The sequence below is a fragment of the Homo sapiens genome, chromosome 7 (genome assembly GCF_000001405.40).
Source record: "Homo sapiens chromosome 7, GRCh38.p14 Primary Assembly".
Taxonomy (NCBI): Eukaryota; Metazoa; Chordata; class Mammalia; order Primates; family Hominidae; genus Homo; species Homo sapiens.
The window spans coordinates 144,082,062-144,099,425 of record NC_000007.14 but is presented as its reverse complement, the minus strand read 5'-3'; the positions used below and the strand labels follow the sequence as shown (position 1 = coordinate 144,099,425).

At 37.1% G+C, this 17,364-nt stretch overlaps 1 protein-coding gene across 1 annotated transcript, besides 1 other annotated feature; it reads right to left on the bottom strand.

Moving 5' to 3' along the window:
* Positions 1-472: 472 nt before the first annotated feature.
* On the bottom strand, positions 473-13,148 carry OR2A12 (olfactory receptor family 2 subfamily A member 12). The gene is made up of 2 exons (NM_001004135.2): positions 12,883-13,148; positions 473-4,369 (listed from the first exon to the last, which is right to left on the bottom strand). Exon 2 carries the CDS (start codon positions 4,316-4,318, stop codon positions 3,386-3,388), a length of 933 nt encoding a protein of 310 aa, NP_001004135.1. The 5' UTR covers positions 4,319-4,369; positions 12,883-13,148; the 3' UTR covers positions 473-3,385.
* Positions 13,004-13,204: a silencer, noted in NCBI's record as "peak6810 fragment used in MPRA reporter construct". NCBI's record gives its function as "represses an SCP1 promoter by STARR-seq MPRAs in K562 erythroleukemia cells {active_cell/tissue: K562}" and the evidence as "EXISTENCE:reporter gene assay evidence [ECO:0000049][PMID:32103011]".

Below are 17,364 nucleotides of genomic sequence, written 5' to 3'. Positions count from 1 at the left end.
TGCTGTTCTTTTTACCTGAATGATTTATCTTTTTTCCCCTACTAATTTTAGTTTTTCAAGCCTAGTGTCTATATTACCTTTAATATAAGTTCTCTTTTACTTACATTTTGACAAATAATTTTTTTGTTAAGTTTATAAAACTACCACCCCCCATATCTCACATGGTAATTAATGATCACTAGATCTCATGGTTGAAGGGAATATTAATTCCCTTCATTGACAGTGGTCCAATATAATAATAATTATTTCCAATAGAGTATTCACAGTTGAGAATTCCATAGGAGACAATAATGTTTCCTTCATTAAAAAAAAGAGGGAGGGAGGAAGGAAGGAAATAAAGAAAATAAAGAGAGAAGAAAGAAAGAAAGAAAAGAGAAAGAAGAAAGAAAGAAAGAGAAAGAAAGGAAGAAAGAAAAGAGAAAGAAGAAAGAAAGAAAGAGAAAGGAAGAAAGAAAGAGAAAGAAAGGAAGGAAGGAAGAGAAAGAGAAAGGAAGGAAGGAAGGAAAGAAAGAAGAAAGAAAGGAAGAAAGAGAGAAAGAAAGTCCTCCTTCAATGATCCTGATAACTTTCCTTCCTGGTGGTAGAAGGGAGATATGTTTATCTTTTGTCTTGAATCAATGGGTCATTGGTGTAAGCTACAGTTGTACATAGAGTTAGTATTGTATTGAGAATATGGGCTCTCTCTCTCTCTGCCATGTGTAGACACAGTGGGAAGACACTCTCTGAAAGCCAGAAGAAAGTCCCCACTAGAGCTCGACGATGCTTGGCACCTGATCTTGGACATAAATTTCTATTGTTTAACAATAAAAGAATACCAGCTCTGGAGCCAGAGAACCTATTTTTTTAAACTCTATATTTTCCATTGATTATGCTAACTCAATGACTCAGGGTAAGTTACTCAACCTCTGTGTTCCTCGATCTTCTCATGTGCAAAATAGAAATTATTAATAAATAGAACATAAAAATGCATCTCTCTCCCCCTAACTTGGTTGCTTCTTGGTTTCAGGAAGAATGTGGATAGGCTTACACTTTCCTGGGGATACCTATTGGTCGTCTGTCAACAGATAATTGTTGAGAATCTTCTCTGTACCTAGCTCTGCTCTAGATACTAGAGACACAGCTATGACAAGACAAAATTGATGTGTACGACGATCTTGTATATTACTGATTGTAAACTGACAACACACATGTGAAAAAAATATATAAAGGGAAAAACTTCAAGTACTTAATAATGCCATAAAAAGACAGACTGAAGAGATATGATTGAAAGTCACCTAGTCAAGACAATGCATGAGACTCTGAAATATGCTGGTCTTTGGGGATGTACTGCTTGAGAGCTGATAAATCAGAAAGTCTTCCAGAAGATTTTGTGGCTTGTCCTTTCACTTTTTATGCCCTGTTTTGATTAACATAAGTTCTTAATTTCAACCCAGTCACATACACTAATATTTTTATTTAATGCAGCTTAAAGATTTTATAATATCAGATATTATTTCACAATAGCAATTATGTGTATTGTTTAAAAAATCCTTCTCTTGTATATCTTCTAAAAGCTTTAGAGTTCTGCCTTTGACACTTAAATCTTGAATACACCAGAAGTTGAATTTTCTGCATGATTTGAATATCTTTATAAAGACTTGGTTGTCCCAACACCATTTACTTCAAAGCTTTTTCATTCCCCAGTGATATGCCATGCCACACCTCTAATATAGCAAGTGCTAATAAAAGCAAATATACACTAATTTTCTTTCTATTCTGTTTGTTTTTTGGTCTATCTGTGTATAAATACCACACTGTTCTGTTTATTAGCACTATATAGTGTGTTTTGATATCTGAAGGATCAAATCCTCCCACGTTGTACTCTTTCTCTTTTAATAGAGTTTGAGCTAGCCTTGGTCCCTTGAATTTTAAGATTAGTTTGTTGAGTTCTGCACACATCCACACACCCTGCTGCGATATTGATTGGGATTGTATTAAATCTAATAATCAATTTAAGGAGATTGAATCTTTGTAATATTATGTTTTTCAGTCCAAGAACTTGGCATACCACACATTGTGTATCTATTTATTTACCATAGTCTCTCAATAAATTTTTAATTGTCTCTTTAGAGCTTTTGTATAATCTTTGTTATAATTATTCCTAAGCATTTGAGAATTAAATCCTGTTGTGTATGGTAGCGTTTTTTCAAGTTTCATTTTAATTGTTTGTTACTGCTTTAAAAATATAATATATTTTTATATTGATTTTGTATCAAGCTACTTTAAAATTTCTTATAATTCTTTTGAATTTCCTACATATACAGTAATGTCATTTGTATGTAATTACAGTTTGTTTCTTCTTTCTCAAATGTGTGTGCACGTGTGAGTGTGTGTGTGTGTGCGTGTGTGCGTGTGTGCGCATGCATGGGTGTATTTGTTCTTTTTGTCTAACTGTATTGGTTAGGATCTCTAGTAAAAAGTGAAATCAAGAAAAACAAGTGATTTTTTTTGTGTCTGATTCTTTACCCGAAAAGGACAGATGCTAACATTTCACCATTAACCATGACGTCTGCTTTGTTTTTATTTTTGTTTTGTTTTTGGTAGATTCTGTTTAGAAAGTCTTACTGCGATATTAGCTTATAAAGAATTGATCTTAAATCTTGTCAAACACTTTCTTGGATCTACTGAGATGTTCATATGAAATGTATTCTTTAATTTGTTAATGTGGGGAAGTTATTTTTGTTGTTTGTTTTAATGTTAAATTATTGCTGCATTTTAAGGGTATACATAGTTTCATTATAATACATCCTTACTTCATTCTGATGGACTTGTTTCATTAATATTTTCTTTAAGAGGTTTGCATCTATGTTCATGAGTAGGATTAGATTGTGATTTTCTGTTTCATAAGTTTATCTCAGGTTTGGTATCAATGCCTTAAATAGTAAAAGTAATTAGTTTCTCTCTCTTTATTTATTTATTTATTTATTTTTGAGAGGGAGTCTTGCTCTGTCGCCCAGGCTGGAGTGCAGTGGTACAATCTCGGCTCAGTGCAACCTCCGCCTCCTGGGTTCAAACGATTCTCCTGCCTCAGCCTCCCAAGTAGAGCTGGGATTACAGGCGCCCACCAGCACGCCCGGCTAATTTTTGTATTTTTAATAGAGACAGTGTTTCGCCATGTTGGTTAGGCTGGTCTCGAACTCCTGACCTCAGGTAATCCGCCCAGGTCAGCCTCCCAAAGTGTTGGGATTACAGGCTTCAGCCACCACGCCAGGCCAGTTTCTCTTTTTATAAGAAGTCTAAAGATAAACAGTATTGGGTGTGGTAAATTAAAGAATTAAAAAGGAAATTTCAGGACCCAGGGTCATGAGAACCATGCTTACACACTCAGGATATCTCAAATGATTCTTCACATTGATCTCTGTTTCCAAAGGACTCTCTTTAGAGCCCCTTTCACCTCTGCATTCCTAAGGCTGTAGATGAGGGGGTTCAGGATCGGGTTGAAAAGGCTGTAAAACAGGGAAAGGATCTTCCTCCGTTCTTGAGAATGGCTTGACTTGGGGGCCATGTACATGACAATGGCGCTGCCAAAGAAAAGCCCCACCACGCAGAGGTGGGAGGAGCAGGTAGAGAAGGCCTTTCTGCGGCCCTCCCCAGACTGGATCCTCAAGATGGCCACCAGGATGTGCAAGTAGGAGACCAGCACCAGGCAGAGCGGCCCCACTAAGATGAACGCAGAACCCGCAAATAGGACCACCTGGTTGAGCCTAGTGTCAGCACAGGCCAATTTGAATACGGACATGATTTGACAGAAAAAGTGGTTGATCTTTTGTGGGCCACAAAAAGGCAGCCTCAGAATAAGAGTAATATGGACCAGAGCCAAGAGAAAGCTAAATATCCAGCAAGTTGAGGCCAGGACAGTGCACACTCTCCAGTTCATAATGAGGGTGTATTGCAAGGGGTGACAGATTGCCACATACCGATCATAGCACATCATCACCAAAATCAGACACTCTGTAATAGCAAACGCCAAATACAAAAAAGTCTGAAGTATGCAAGGAGCAAAGGAGATGACTTTTTTGTGCATCACAAGATTTGCTAGCATCTTAGGGACAGTACTCGAGGCATAGGACATGTCCACAATGGCCAGGTGTGACAGGAAGACATACATGGGTGTGTGCAGTCTAGAGTCCAAGTAGATGAGCCCCAGGATAATCCCATTTCCCATCAGGGTTAAGCTGTAGAATAGCAAGAAAAACCCAAAGAGGAACAACTCCAGAGCTGGGTCCACCTGGAATCCCAACAGGATGACTTCTGTGATCCAGGTCTGATTGCTTTCCATGTTCTCGTGACAGAAAAATCTTGTGATGTACTTAAGACAGAAATTTCACAGCTAATGGGAGAAAATAAAAAACATTTCATTATAGAGCATGAATTTTATGCCAGAGGCCACAAATCAGTATTTCATGGGTACATCCAGCCCAAAGTCCTATGATGTTGACTTACAAATTTGGCTTTTAGAGATATTTAAAATCTGTAGTTATTGACTAATATTAAAAACTAGGCGATTTCATGATAAAATTGGTGTCTCTAGATTCTTTTGAGAAAAATAGAAGATTTGTCATTTCATGATATTCATTGAAAGCAATAATCAGCTAAATCTAATGAGGCAATAGATAGAGGCTGGTCCTCTTTCATTTACCACTGTTTTCACCAATCTTTATTTTCTCCCAGAAGTTGAGCTCAGTGACACTGAACAATTTTATCATTGTACCTACTCTACTGATGACATATTTACATAAGAAGAGAGTGAAGATTTTTGCTCAAGATGGGTTCCCAATTTCTCCTCTACTTCAAATACATGGATATGAGAGATAAAATACAAAATGCAAACCCTAAAGAGTTTAAAATGTGACAACTCCTTCATACACTGGAAATGAATCAGAAACATAATATGCTCCAAGTCTGGAAGCAGACAGTAATACCTGGAACTTAGCTTTTATGGGGTTAAGGCAAGTTGTTGTGAGATGTGGTACTGATGTGATTGTTTGAAGCTCAGGGCTTGGATTGGGGCCATGAAAGAAGTTTTAAAACAACTATTGGCTTGCTGGATAAAGTGACTTTCAAGAAGTCAATATGCTTGCCGGCTCTATAATTTGATCAACAGAACCTGAGAAAGTGTTATAAGACCTGATTTTTATAAGGGGCCCTTGGAGTCAGGTGAAGAACAACAAAATCTAAAGACCACAAGAGGGAGAAACAAGATAGGAAAATCAAATAATAATAATGATGATAATAATAACAACAATAAAAACAAAAACTTCTCCACTCAAAATTTGCCTAATAAACATGTTTGTTTTAAAACACAAATTTAACACTAAAAAGGGAAAACAAAGTAAATAATTAGAACCTTAAATTCATTGAAGATGCAATTAAATGTATAGAACAACAGTATCTCATTGTGGTTTTGATTTGCATTTCTCTGATGGCCAGTGATGATACATGCACACGTATGTTTATTGCGGCACTATTCACAATAGCAAAGACTTGGAACCAACCCAAATGTCCAACAATGATAGACTGGATTAAGAAAATGTGGCACATATACACCATGGAATACTATGCAGCCATAAAAAATGATGAGTTCATGTCCTTTGTAGGGACATGGATGAAGCTGGAAACCATCATTCTCAGCAAACTATCACAAGGACAAAAAACCAAACACCGCATGTTCTCACTCATAGGTGGGAAATGAGCAATGAGAACACATGGACACAAGAAGGGGAACATCACACACTGGGGCCTGTTGCGGGGTGGGGGGTGGGGGGAGGGATAGCATTAGGAGATATACCTAATGTAAATGACGAGTTAATGGGTGCAGCACACCAACATTGCACATGTATACATGTGTAACAAACCTGCAAGTTGTGCACATGTACCCTAAAACTTAAAGTATTAAAAAAAAGAGAAATATAACACACAATTTTAAAAAACAATAAAGAGGATAATGTCCACATCTACCATTAAAGGGAAGAAGTTGTGTAGTGGAAGATGTCATGAAGGAATCTACCCAGATTTTAATACAGATAGGCAAAGGGATAACATTTTGAAAGCACCACTTAGAGACATAAATGATTGAGAGGCTAAATTTAGATGTGATAGTTTCCTAAGCAAAAGAATGAAGAAAATGGGGAAGAAACAATATTTGAAGAGATTTCACCAAAAATGTTCGAGAATTGAAAACAATTTGTCTTTAAATCACTAAAAAAATGCATTCCACTTAATGAATACAATAAAGGTAAATTTATACTCAAGCAAATTGAAATTTTCATAACTGAAGATGACCTGAGTCTTTAGATTAAAAATGAACCCTGAGAACAAAATAGAATAAATAAAAAATAAATTCTAAATAAATGTAAATGACCGACAATTTTCGTGGATGACTATCTTTCCTCCATACTCTACGTTTCACTGTGTGTAGACTTTCTGGAATTTCTATTGGATCAATATTATCATCTATCAACATATCTTGTATGTCTCTTATCTGCCCTTTAAGATATTTTTTGTCTCACTCTTCACCATGTTCTTGACATTTTCTTCAAAACAAAATTCACAAAGAATACAAAATTTAGAATTTATTTCCTACAAAAGAACTGCAAAATTCATTTTTTTCATTACTCATTTACTACTCAGACTAAAGGACTGCAAAATTTAAATAGAAAAAAAATTCCTTAATTTGAAAAAGAGTACCTATAAAACCTACAGAATCAACATACAAAAATCACTAGAATTTCTATACACCAACAACAGTCAAGCCAAGAGCCAAATCGGGAATGCAGTCCCATTCACAATTGCCACAAAAAGAATAAAATACATAGGAATACAGCTAACCAGAGAGGTGAAAGATCTCAACAATGAGAACTACAAAACACTGTTCAAAGATATCAGAGATGACACAAATAAATGGAAAAACATTCCATGCTCATTGATAGAAAGAATCAATATTGTTCAAATGGCCATACTGCCTAATGGCATTCCTATCAAACTACCGATGATATTCTTCACAGAACTAGAGAAAACTACTTTAAAACTCATATGAAACAAAAAAAAAGAGCCCAAATAGCCAAGGCAAACCTAAGCAAAAAGAACACAGCTGGAGGCATCATGCTATTTGACTTCAAACTATACTTCAGGGCTACAGTAACCAAAACAGCACAGTACTGGTACAAGAACAGACACATAGACCAATGGAAGAGAATAGAGAACCCAGAAATAAGGCCTTACACCTACAACCATCTGATCTTCAACAAAGCTGACTGAAAAAAGCAATGGGGAAAGCACTCCCTATTCAGTAAATGGTGCTGGGAGAACTAGCTAGCCATATGCAGAAGATTGAAACTGGACCCCTTCCTTACACCATATGCAAAGATCAACTCACGATGGATTAAAGACTTAAATATAAAACCCAAAGCAATAAAAACCTTGGAAGACAAAATCTAGGTGGTACTGTTCTGGACATAGAAATGGACAGAAATTTCATGATGAAGATGCCAAAAGCAATTGCAATAAAAGCAAAAATTGACAAATGGGATCCAATTAACTAAAGAGTTCTGCACAGTAAAGGAAATTATCAACAAAGTAGATAGACAATCTACAGAATGGAAGAAATTATTTGCAAACTATACATCTGACAAAGGTCTAATATCCAGCATCTGAAAGGAACTTAAACAAATTTACAAAAAAAAATCCCATTAAAAAGTAAGCAAATGGTATGAACAGACACTTCAAAAGGAGACATACAAGCAGCGAACAAACATATGAAAAAATCCTCATCCTCACTAATCATCAGATAAATGCAAATCAAAACCACAATGAGATATCATCTCACATCAGTCAGAAGGGCTACTGTTAAAGTCAAAACATAACAGATGCTGGCAAGGCTGCAGAGAGAAAAGGGAACACTTATACACTGTTGGTGAGAATGTAAACTAATTCAATCACTGCAGAAAGGAGTTTGGAGATTTCTTTTCTTTTTCTTTCTTTCTTATTTATTTATTTAGACACGGAGTCTTGTTCTGTTGCCCAGACTGGAGTGCAATGGCACAATTTTGGCTCACTGCAACCTCCGCCTCCCAAGTTCAAGCGATTCTCTTGCCTCAGCCTCCTGAGTAGCTGGGATTACAGGCACACGCCATCACACCTGGCTAATTTTTGTATTTTTAGTAGAAACAGGGTTTCACCATGTTGACCAGGATGGTCTTGAACTCCTGACATCAAATGATCCGCCTGCCTTGGCCTCCCAAAATGCTGGGATTACAGGCATGAGCCACCGCACCCAGCCCTGGAGATTTCTTAAAGAACTAAAAACAGAATTACCATTTGACTCAGCAATCCCATTGCTGGGTATACACCCAAAGAAATATAAATCATTCCATTGTAAAGACACATAAACATGTACATTTACTGCAGCACTATTCGTAATAGTAAAGACATGGAATCAACCTAAATATTAAAAACTGGTAGACTAGATAAAGAAAATGTGGTACATATACGCCATGGAATACTATGCAGCCATGAAAAAGAATGAGATCATGTCCTTTGTAGGAACATGGATGGAGCTGAAGGTCTTTATCCTTAGGAAATGAAAACAGGATCAGAAAATCAAATACCACATATTCTCATTTATATGTGGGAGCTTAATGATAAGAACACATGGACACGTAGAGGGAAACAACAGGCACAGGGGCCTATCAGAAGGCAGAAGGTGAGAGGAGAGAGAGGATCATGAAAAACAATTAATGGGTACTAGGCTTAATACCTGAGTGATGAAATAATCTGTACCACAAACCCTATGACATGAATTTACCTATGTAACAAACCTGCACATGTACACCTGAATTTAAAAGTTAAAAGAAGAAAAAGAGTATCCATAAAACCTACAGAGTTTATCCTATGACTGACATCGGTTTAAAATTTATCTCATCTTAATTTTTAAAAATTTAATAACTTTGTTTTTCTTAGATTTTTAAGTTGATACACATATGTATGTATACATATAAATATATATATTTATATATGTCTATAATACATATCTACACATATTTCTTGGTTCATTATAGTGCCTTTTTGTTTCATAACCTTTTTGATTTCTAATAGAAACTATAATTTTATTTGTCTCTTAAAGCCTTTGTTATATTCTCTTAAAATTTAATTTTTCTAGTAGTAAGAGGTAATATTAAAAATTATCAAAGGTAAAAGCAATGATCTAATAAGAGCAACAATTCCACTGACAGAGACTTCTCATCAACAAGAAGAGTTCAGAAGATAATGAGCTACTGTTGTTACTTTGCCAAGAAGGGGAGAAGCTGTCATTCCACAATTTTATATCTGCAGTAACTCTCTTGAATGAATGAGAGCAAAGTAAGATATTATTGGATATACAAATCAGAAGGGCACTGAGGACCTATAGATCCTCAATATAGCCCTATATTCCTTAATAAGAACAAAAGTGAACCCAGAGGTGAATCGAATATATGAAAACAATATTTACACATAATTTCAAATAGAATATCTCAGTAAATTTTATAAACAATGGGCTATAAAATGATTATTTTGGTGTTTTGAAAGGGTAAAATTAAATCTTTTGGAAATAATAAGTAAACAGAGGGAGATGTGTGAAAAATAAAGAATGCTAAGACTCTTGATGAAAATTGAAACTAGGAGTGACTTTAGATTTGTTAAAATAATGTATTAAACTTGTGTATTAGCAATTAGTGAGAATCATAAAAAATAAACAAAATATGTGGTTTCCAAAATTACAAAGTAAATAAAAGAAATTTGAAAACGTTATCAATCCAACAGCAGGCCAAAAAAGAAAAAAAAGCAATTTTTTTGACAAATAGAAAACACAAAATAAGCAAGTATAAATAAGTCTGTGTATATAAATTATCACATTATATGTACTTATAGGGCATTAAAAGACAGAGTTAGGCACTTTAGTTGAAAACAGAAAATCGAGTTACAAAATCCTTATGTGCCACACCTAAACCCCTTAAACATAAATTCTCTTTTTTCTCTCTAACACACACACACAGACGCAGACGCACACGCACACACGCGCACACACACACACATGCACACGCACACCCCCACACCGAGATTAAAAATAAAATAATGGAAAACATGTTGTAGAAACTGGTAGTAGCAATTTTGTTATCAGCATGTGTAAGCATGTAGGTGATACTATACAATAATAATGAAAAGAAAAATCCACAAAGAATAGACAATTCAGAATTTATGCCCTATGAAAAGACTGCAAGATTCAAATAGACAAAAACTTTTCCTAAATCTGAAAAAGAATATCCATAAAACCAACAGAAACATTATACTTAACGGTGAATGTTTAAAAGCTTTCCCCTTGCATTAGAATATAAGGTGCTCCTCTTGTATTCTGGAGAGTTTGTTTTGATCCTTCCTATTTAGATCTAAAACTGACCTGGTGTTTATTTTTGTGCATGGTGTGTGGTAGGGGCCATGTTTTGGTGTTCTTCGAAGAAGAAGAAGGTACTAACCACTTCTATTTAATGTTGATTAATAAAGTAGCCAGTAATAACACCAAAAGAAAGAGTAAGAAGCATAAGAATTAAAATGAAGAATATCAAATGTCATTATTTACACCACCATGATTTTGTTTGTAGAAAAATTTTAAACTCAATCAATGAACTATTAAAATTACTGTGTATTTATAAAAACTTCTGGATTCAAGGTCAATGTACAAAATTAATGAGATATGTATATATGCATGTATACATTAATATAATTGTGTGTTTATAGATTGGAAGTTTTGTAAAGATTCTAAACCTATTCAATTTGATCTATACTTTCAATGAAATTCAAATCAGAATACCAGCAAGTTTTTTTATCAATGAAAATTAATAATTGTACTCTAAATGTTATATGAAATGCAGAAGGTCCAGAATAGTCAAGGAAATCTTGAGAAAGAAGAATGAATGGAAGAACTTACTCCATTGACTCTCCAGACTTATAAAGCCACAGCAATTGAGTGAATGTGGCAGTGGAAGAAGGATAAACAAATATACCAGTGACACAGAGTGGTTAACTCAAAAATCCAGAAGAACGGCTGGGCGCGGTGGCTCACACCTGTAATCCCAGCACTTTGGGAGGCCGAGGTGGGTGGATCACTTGAGGTCAGGAGTTCGAGACCAGCCTGGCCAACATGGCAAAACCCTGTCTCTACTAAAAATACAAAAATTAGGAGGGCGTGGTGTTGGGCATCTGTAGTCCCAGCTATTCGGGAGGCTGAGGCAGGAGAATTGCTTGAACAGGAGGCAGAGGTTGCAGTGAGCCAAAATCGTGCCACTGCACTCCAGCCTGGGAGACAGAGCGAGACGCTGTTTCAAAACAAAACAAAACAAAATCCAGAAGAATATGCACACTCTTGATCTAAGACAAAGTTGGCACTGGTGTTTTTGAAAAATAATATTATGCTGTGTCGGTTGGCTATCCATGTCGAAGAACACCAAAACATGGCCCCTACCACACACCATGCACAAAAATAAACATCAGGTCAGTTTTAGATCTAAATAGGAAGGATCAAAACAAACTCTCCAGAATACAAGCTAGGGGTATGTTTTTGAGAGTAGCGAACGTTTCTTAAACAATCCACACTGAAAAGATTGTGTCATTACAGTGTTACAAATACAGACAGGATTCTGTTTTCCTTTTCCATTTTTAAATTGTAAGAAAACACATTATTTTAAAAAACTTCCTTCTCAAAAGTGAGAAACATCTCTCCCTTTAAATGGATGTAAAGGGAATAAGAATGCATTCAATTGTGTTTATTTTTTAAAAGCAAAATTTTCACTTAATGTGTTGCCAGATACATGTGAATCAGAGAAGTTATTTTTGTAGTAGGAATATTTTACCGTATTTCCACTAGCCAGGACTTTTCCCCAAAATTTAATATGTGACACCATAGTCAAGTTATCCCACTCTAGGATCTGATAAAGGGTTTCCATAAGATGAAGACAACCATTCTTGGTACACAAATCAGGAAAAGCTTATCTGGCTTGTCTGGCACCTATATGGGCTTCTCTGCTATTAGAAGAAATAGGAGAGAAATCCTTGTCAAATAACTCTAGGACTTTCCCCTGGCACCTGACATCTCCCTCCAGGGCAACAAAGAAAAGGAACCCTAATGTTACTTTGCTGGCTGGAGGGTATTCCTAGGATGTAGCAGAAGCAGATGATTCTCGGTAGAAGAAATGAAGAAATCACAGGAAAAACTATGTAACACCTGGAGCTTCACCTCCTTCATTTGTAAAGGAGGCAGCAGGAATATATATATGACTCTTATGCCTCTTCCAGTTTGACACCATGAACCAGAGTGATCTACTGCTACCAGCTCCTTCCCACAAGTGATAGGAAAAGGGTGGGACAAAGGCAAGTCTGAAACCTATGTAACGTTTTGACACTGTAAGTATCAGATGTTACTCTGAGACCTGGCATAGTGCCAGGAAGGGGTCTCCGTGAAGGTGTTCTCGCTCGCTCTCTCTTTTTTTCCTCCATCCTAAACCTGAACATTTCTGCCAGTCTTCTGCCTTCTCCTGGAAACCACTAATCAGTGTATAAATAATGATTAATACAAAGGAAGATACTATTTCTGGTATTTGCCTCAAATTGCCCTTGAATGCACAGGAAAACACAGAGATGCGGAAAGGTTGGAGCTGAATTGCCTGCACCTGAAGCAGGTTGGGTAGACGATGAGTCCCAGATCTCTTTCTATCCTGAGGACTGGGACAGGACCCAGGGATGTTCAGGGGGCTTCTAGATATGTAGACTTTATACTCTGATTACTTAAAAGAGGCCCATTATCCAGAGACATACCTGTGGAGTCCAGAGAACAACATATGAAGCGTCTTCCCACCATCCTATGTCTTCCCTACTGAGCAGTGTAACACCTTCCCCTCTCCTCTCTATCCTCCAGCTTTGTTATTCGTATGAGTGTCAGCGTGTGTAGGTGTGGGGCAGGTGTGTATGCCTCTGTTTGTGTGTGTGTGCACGCATGTGCACTTGTGTTCCTGCTTATGCAAAGAAGTGAGAACTCAGGAAGAATGGCAAGGTTGTTCCTACCCAGGAGAATCTTGGCATGCACATTTCACAGATAAGTCACCTTATATGGGTTATGTCACATGGCACAGTCTCCAAGCATCTAGACTTATTGTGATCTCAAAATTTTGCCTGCCTACATACCCCCCTTTCAAAAAGGTTGAAATTTGATGATGTGATAAATGTGGCCCCCATGGAGCTTGTTAAGGCAGCACCTCAGAGGACTGTATCTCCTCCAAGGAGAGGAGTCTTGGTCTGCCGAAAGTCTTATTGTGTGTGAATTGCAAAAATTTCCATTGCAGTATATTTTTAAATTTGGAAGCTGATAGAGATCAGATTCTATTTCCCCTGTGCTTTTTTCCTTTCCTTCAATTTCAAGCCACTCTCTATTTGTTCCATTTAAAAAACATATCTTTTCTTTCAAATATGTATCCTACCTTTAGATTCAATTTTTAAAAAATCTCTCGGCCGGGTACAGTGGCTCATGCTTGTAATCCCAGCACTTTGGGAGGCCAAGGCAGGGGATCACAAGGTCAGGAGTTCAAGACCAGCCTGGCCAACATGGTGACACCCCATCTCTACTAAAAATACAAAAATTAGCTTGGCATGTTGGCACGTGCCTGTAATCCCAGCTACTCAAGAGGCTGAGGCAGGAGAATTGCTTGAACCAGGACCCGGGAGGCAGAGGTTGCAGTGAGCCGAGATCGTGCCGCTGCACTCCAGCCTGGGCTAGAGAGCAAGACTCTGTTTCAAAATAATAATAATAATAATAAAGATCTCTCAACTCTAAGCATTTCGGTGTTTGATTAAAATTATATGGCAGACAAATGACATGTCTGTCATGTAGACAACAGACTTGGAGAAAAACACAGAGCCATAATGAATTTTAAGTTCATGATTTTTCATCTCAGTTGGACCCTTATTTAAAGAGGATGCCGCTAGGACACTCTCTTTAAAAAAGTATATTTGAATTACAATATAATATATTTCTCATCAATCCCTACCTGTAATTTCCAAGATTTTTCTGTCATTTCTGATTTTAAAGAGAGATATTATAAGGAACTATTTCTCTTACTTATTTTATTAATGATACCCTCAGGCCTAAAGTATCTCCCTACAATTACTAGAATCAAGTGCGTCAAAATCTTCTGTAGCTACTTTAATAAGAAACTTCAGTATTATGAGGGTGATCAGTGGGGCAGGAAAATAGGGTCTGGAGGGAGGAAACATAAGGCCGATTCATACTTCAGCTATAACAGGAAATATCCTCTCTATAGGGCATACACCATAAATGACTTTCTAACTTTACTTCATCCTCTTCATTTAAATGGGGTGTACCCCAAGAAGAGGGCATTTAAACTCACAAAATCGCTGTAACAGGGCCTTTGAACCCTGATGCTAAGGCCCGCTCCCACATTGTGGAGTATACTTTCATTTTCAATAAAGCCCTTTGTCGTTTCTTTGTTTGTGCATTTTGTCCAATTCTTTTGTTCAAGATGCCAAGAACCTGGACACCCTCCACCGTTAGCATATTTTGGCGAGCCACCCAGGAGTAAGAGGTAAGCCCAAAGTTTGGGATTTATTCTTTTCCTTCTGCTCCATACAGGGGAATCTCTTTCTGTTTTTCTTTCCAAACCAGGACCCTTGGTGGGCAGCAACTAAACATGGAAGCAACTGCAGGTTTCTGGCCATGGCCAGTGAAACTAGGGGCTTTCCATGTGGAGAAGACTGACTGCCGCCGCCGGTTCGCTTAAGGGACCAGGATCTTTTTCATTTTTTTCCCTGTCTTTCTTTTTCAGTCTTTCAGTGCTGTTTCCTAGTAGCTCCTTGGAAATTGAGGGCAATTGGCTGGGGTCACTCCCTGGTAGTGTCTTAAGGCCTAGGAATGAGGTTATAATTACCCTACCCATAGGGGGAAAAACTTTTATATATATATACATATTTTCCACGCGTGGTCCCTGATCCCTACGTGTGGTGCACCAGCTCACAGCAAACTCGCATGTGTTTCAAGCAACTTGAACATTCTTTTCTTATGCTAAAATCTTCCCTTATCTACTCAACTGGCTAAGGAACATAAAGGCCCACCCAGCATCCAGTTCACATTACAGTTCATGGCTATTCTTCTAAAGCTCATAGTAGGTTCTGGAGGGAATGCATGCAAGGTGGCACCAGTGCCCACCTGAGGCCAGAGAGGTCTGGAACTCTAAGACTGGACCCCACAGGAGGACACCCCGGGGAATCCTCTAGACCTCAAACTCTCCAAAGAGGACGCTCTTGGCAGAGGTTCTGCGGTCTAGTATTAAGCCCTCGTTAGAATTTTCTCTCACAGTTGCAATGCTGCTTGGCCCCAACATTATTTGGAACCTGGGGTTCAATGTCTACTGGGAAAGTGGAACAGCATTGCATGTATCCAGGCTTTTGTGCTGTAGTTCTAAGCAGGGGGCCTGGTTAATGTATGACACCCTCCTTTGGTACTGTTTGGCCCCAGTGATCTATGGAGTCTGGGGAGGTTTGGCCTTTAAAAATCAAACTGCCATGGAGACTGTTTTACCCAAAATTTTGGTTCACAGTCTTCATTGGATTGTCTGTTGGGGCAAAGTAAAACCGGCAAGCTGGTATTGCTATCTCATGGCTAAGGTTCCAAGCTATTGGAACAAGACAAGTCTAACTGTCCCACTATACACCTCCAATACAATGTTGAATCAAAGTGGTGAGAGTGGACATCCACGTATTGTTCCTGATCTTAAGAAAAAGCATTCTATCTTTCACCATTAAGTACAATGTTAGCTGTGAGCTTTTTCATCTATGCCTTTTGACAGGTTGAGAAAGTACTCTTCATTTTTATTTTGTTGAGTATTTTTATTATTATTAGATTTGTCAAATGCTTTAATTTGGCTATTAAAATGATCATGTTGTTTTTCTCATTTATGTAATTAATGTGGTATACTTTATTGATTTGGTATTTGGATATGAAAGCAACCTCAGATTCTAGGGATGAATCCAGTTTGGTCATAATATGTAAAACCTTTGATATGCAATTTAAACTCGTTTGCTAGTATTACATATTGTTCAGGATTTGGGCATGTATATAAAAAGGGGTACTGTTCTTTAGTTTTCTTTTTTGTAATATCTTTTTCTTGGTTTTGGTATGAATATAATACTGGCCTCAGAGGATGAACTGGGAAGTATTCCATTCTCTATTTGGAAGGCTTCGTGAAGGATTTAGTGTTAATTTTTCATTAAACCTTTAGTAGGATTCATCAGGGAAGCCACGCAGTTCTGGGATTTTCTTTTTAAAAAGTTTTAAAATTATCAATGCAATTTCTTTACTTTTATAGTTCTATTTACATTTTATTTCCTATTGAGTCAGTATTATACTTTGTATCTTTCTAAGAATTTGTTCATTTCATCTAGATTATCTAATTTTTTGGCATACAATTGCTCATATTTCTTATAAACATTTTATTTCCATAAGGAAGTGGCAATGTCCCCTTTTTCTTTCCTGATTTTAGTAATTTGAGTCCTCTCTTGTTTCTTCTTGTGTCCCAATTCTTACCTAACTACAAATACAAACTCTACTCTAAAAAACAAAACTAAGAACTGAAATGGTTGGACACACGTGCCTCTTTAAATTGGCACAATCTCTTTCCGCCACTTCACTCATTAGTTAACTTATGAAACATTTGCCAAGTCCTGAACATTAATTTGCCAAAGAATTTTTTCTTTCACAAAATTCAGTGCTTTCTCAAGCAAGCTAAAGCTGCCAAATCAATCTGATGTGAGCTTAAGCTTCTAATGAGTGTGTCTTAGAAGTAATTGTGTCCTTAGTAAATTCAGTCGCTAATTTTCATGCAATAACTATAGAGAATATAGATTGGTAACAGCCAGATTACCAGTCCTAAAAAGGTCAGAAAATCAAGAAGTGAGATAGAAGAAAATAACTGTAAGGAACTTGGAGTAGTATCAGTCTTTCCCTCCCACTGTAAATATAAAACTAAATGAAATATATGGAACAGCCATTTTCAGTTGCAGGAAAGTAGATAGTACAGTGATGTGATCCTTGTGAGAAGGGAAATATGACACAAGCCTCACATTCAAACAGACTTCCTCCCAAGAGTCATTTTCCAAGCAGCAACTAGCAAAACGGAGTCCAAGGAGAAAGCTGAAGTCTCCTTGGGTACAAATAACAGGGAAGTTGAGGGCCAATGTGGAAACTGAGATTTCAGGGTAGGGCACTGAAGAAGAATATGTACAAAAGGA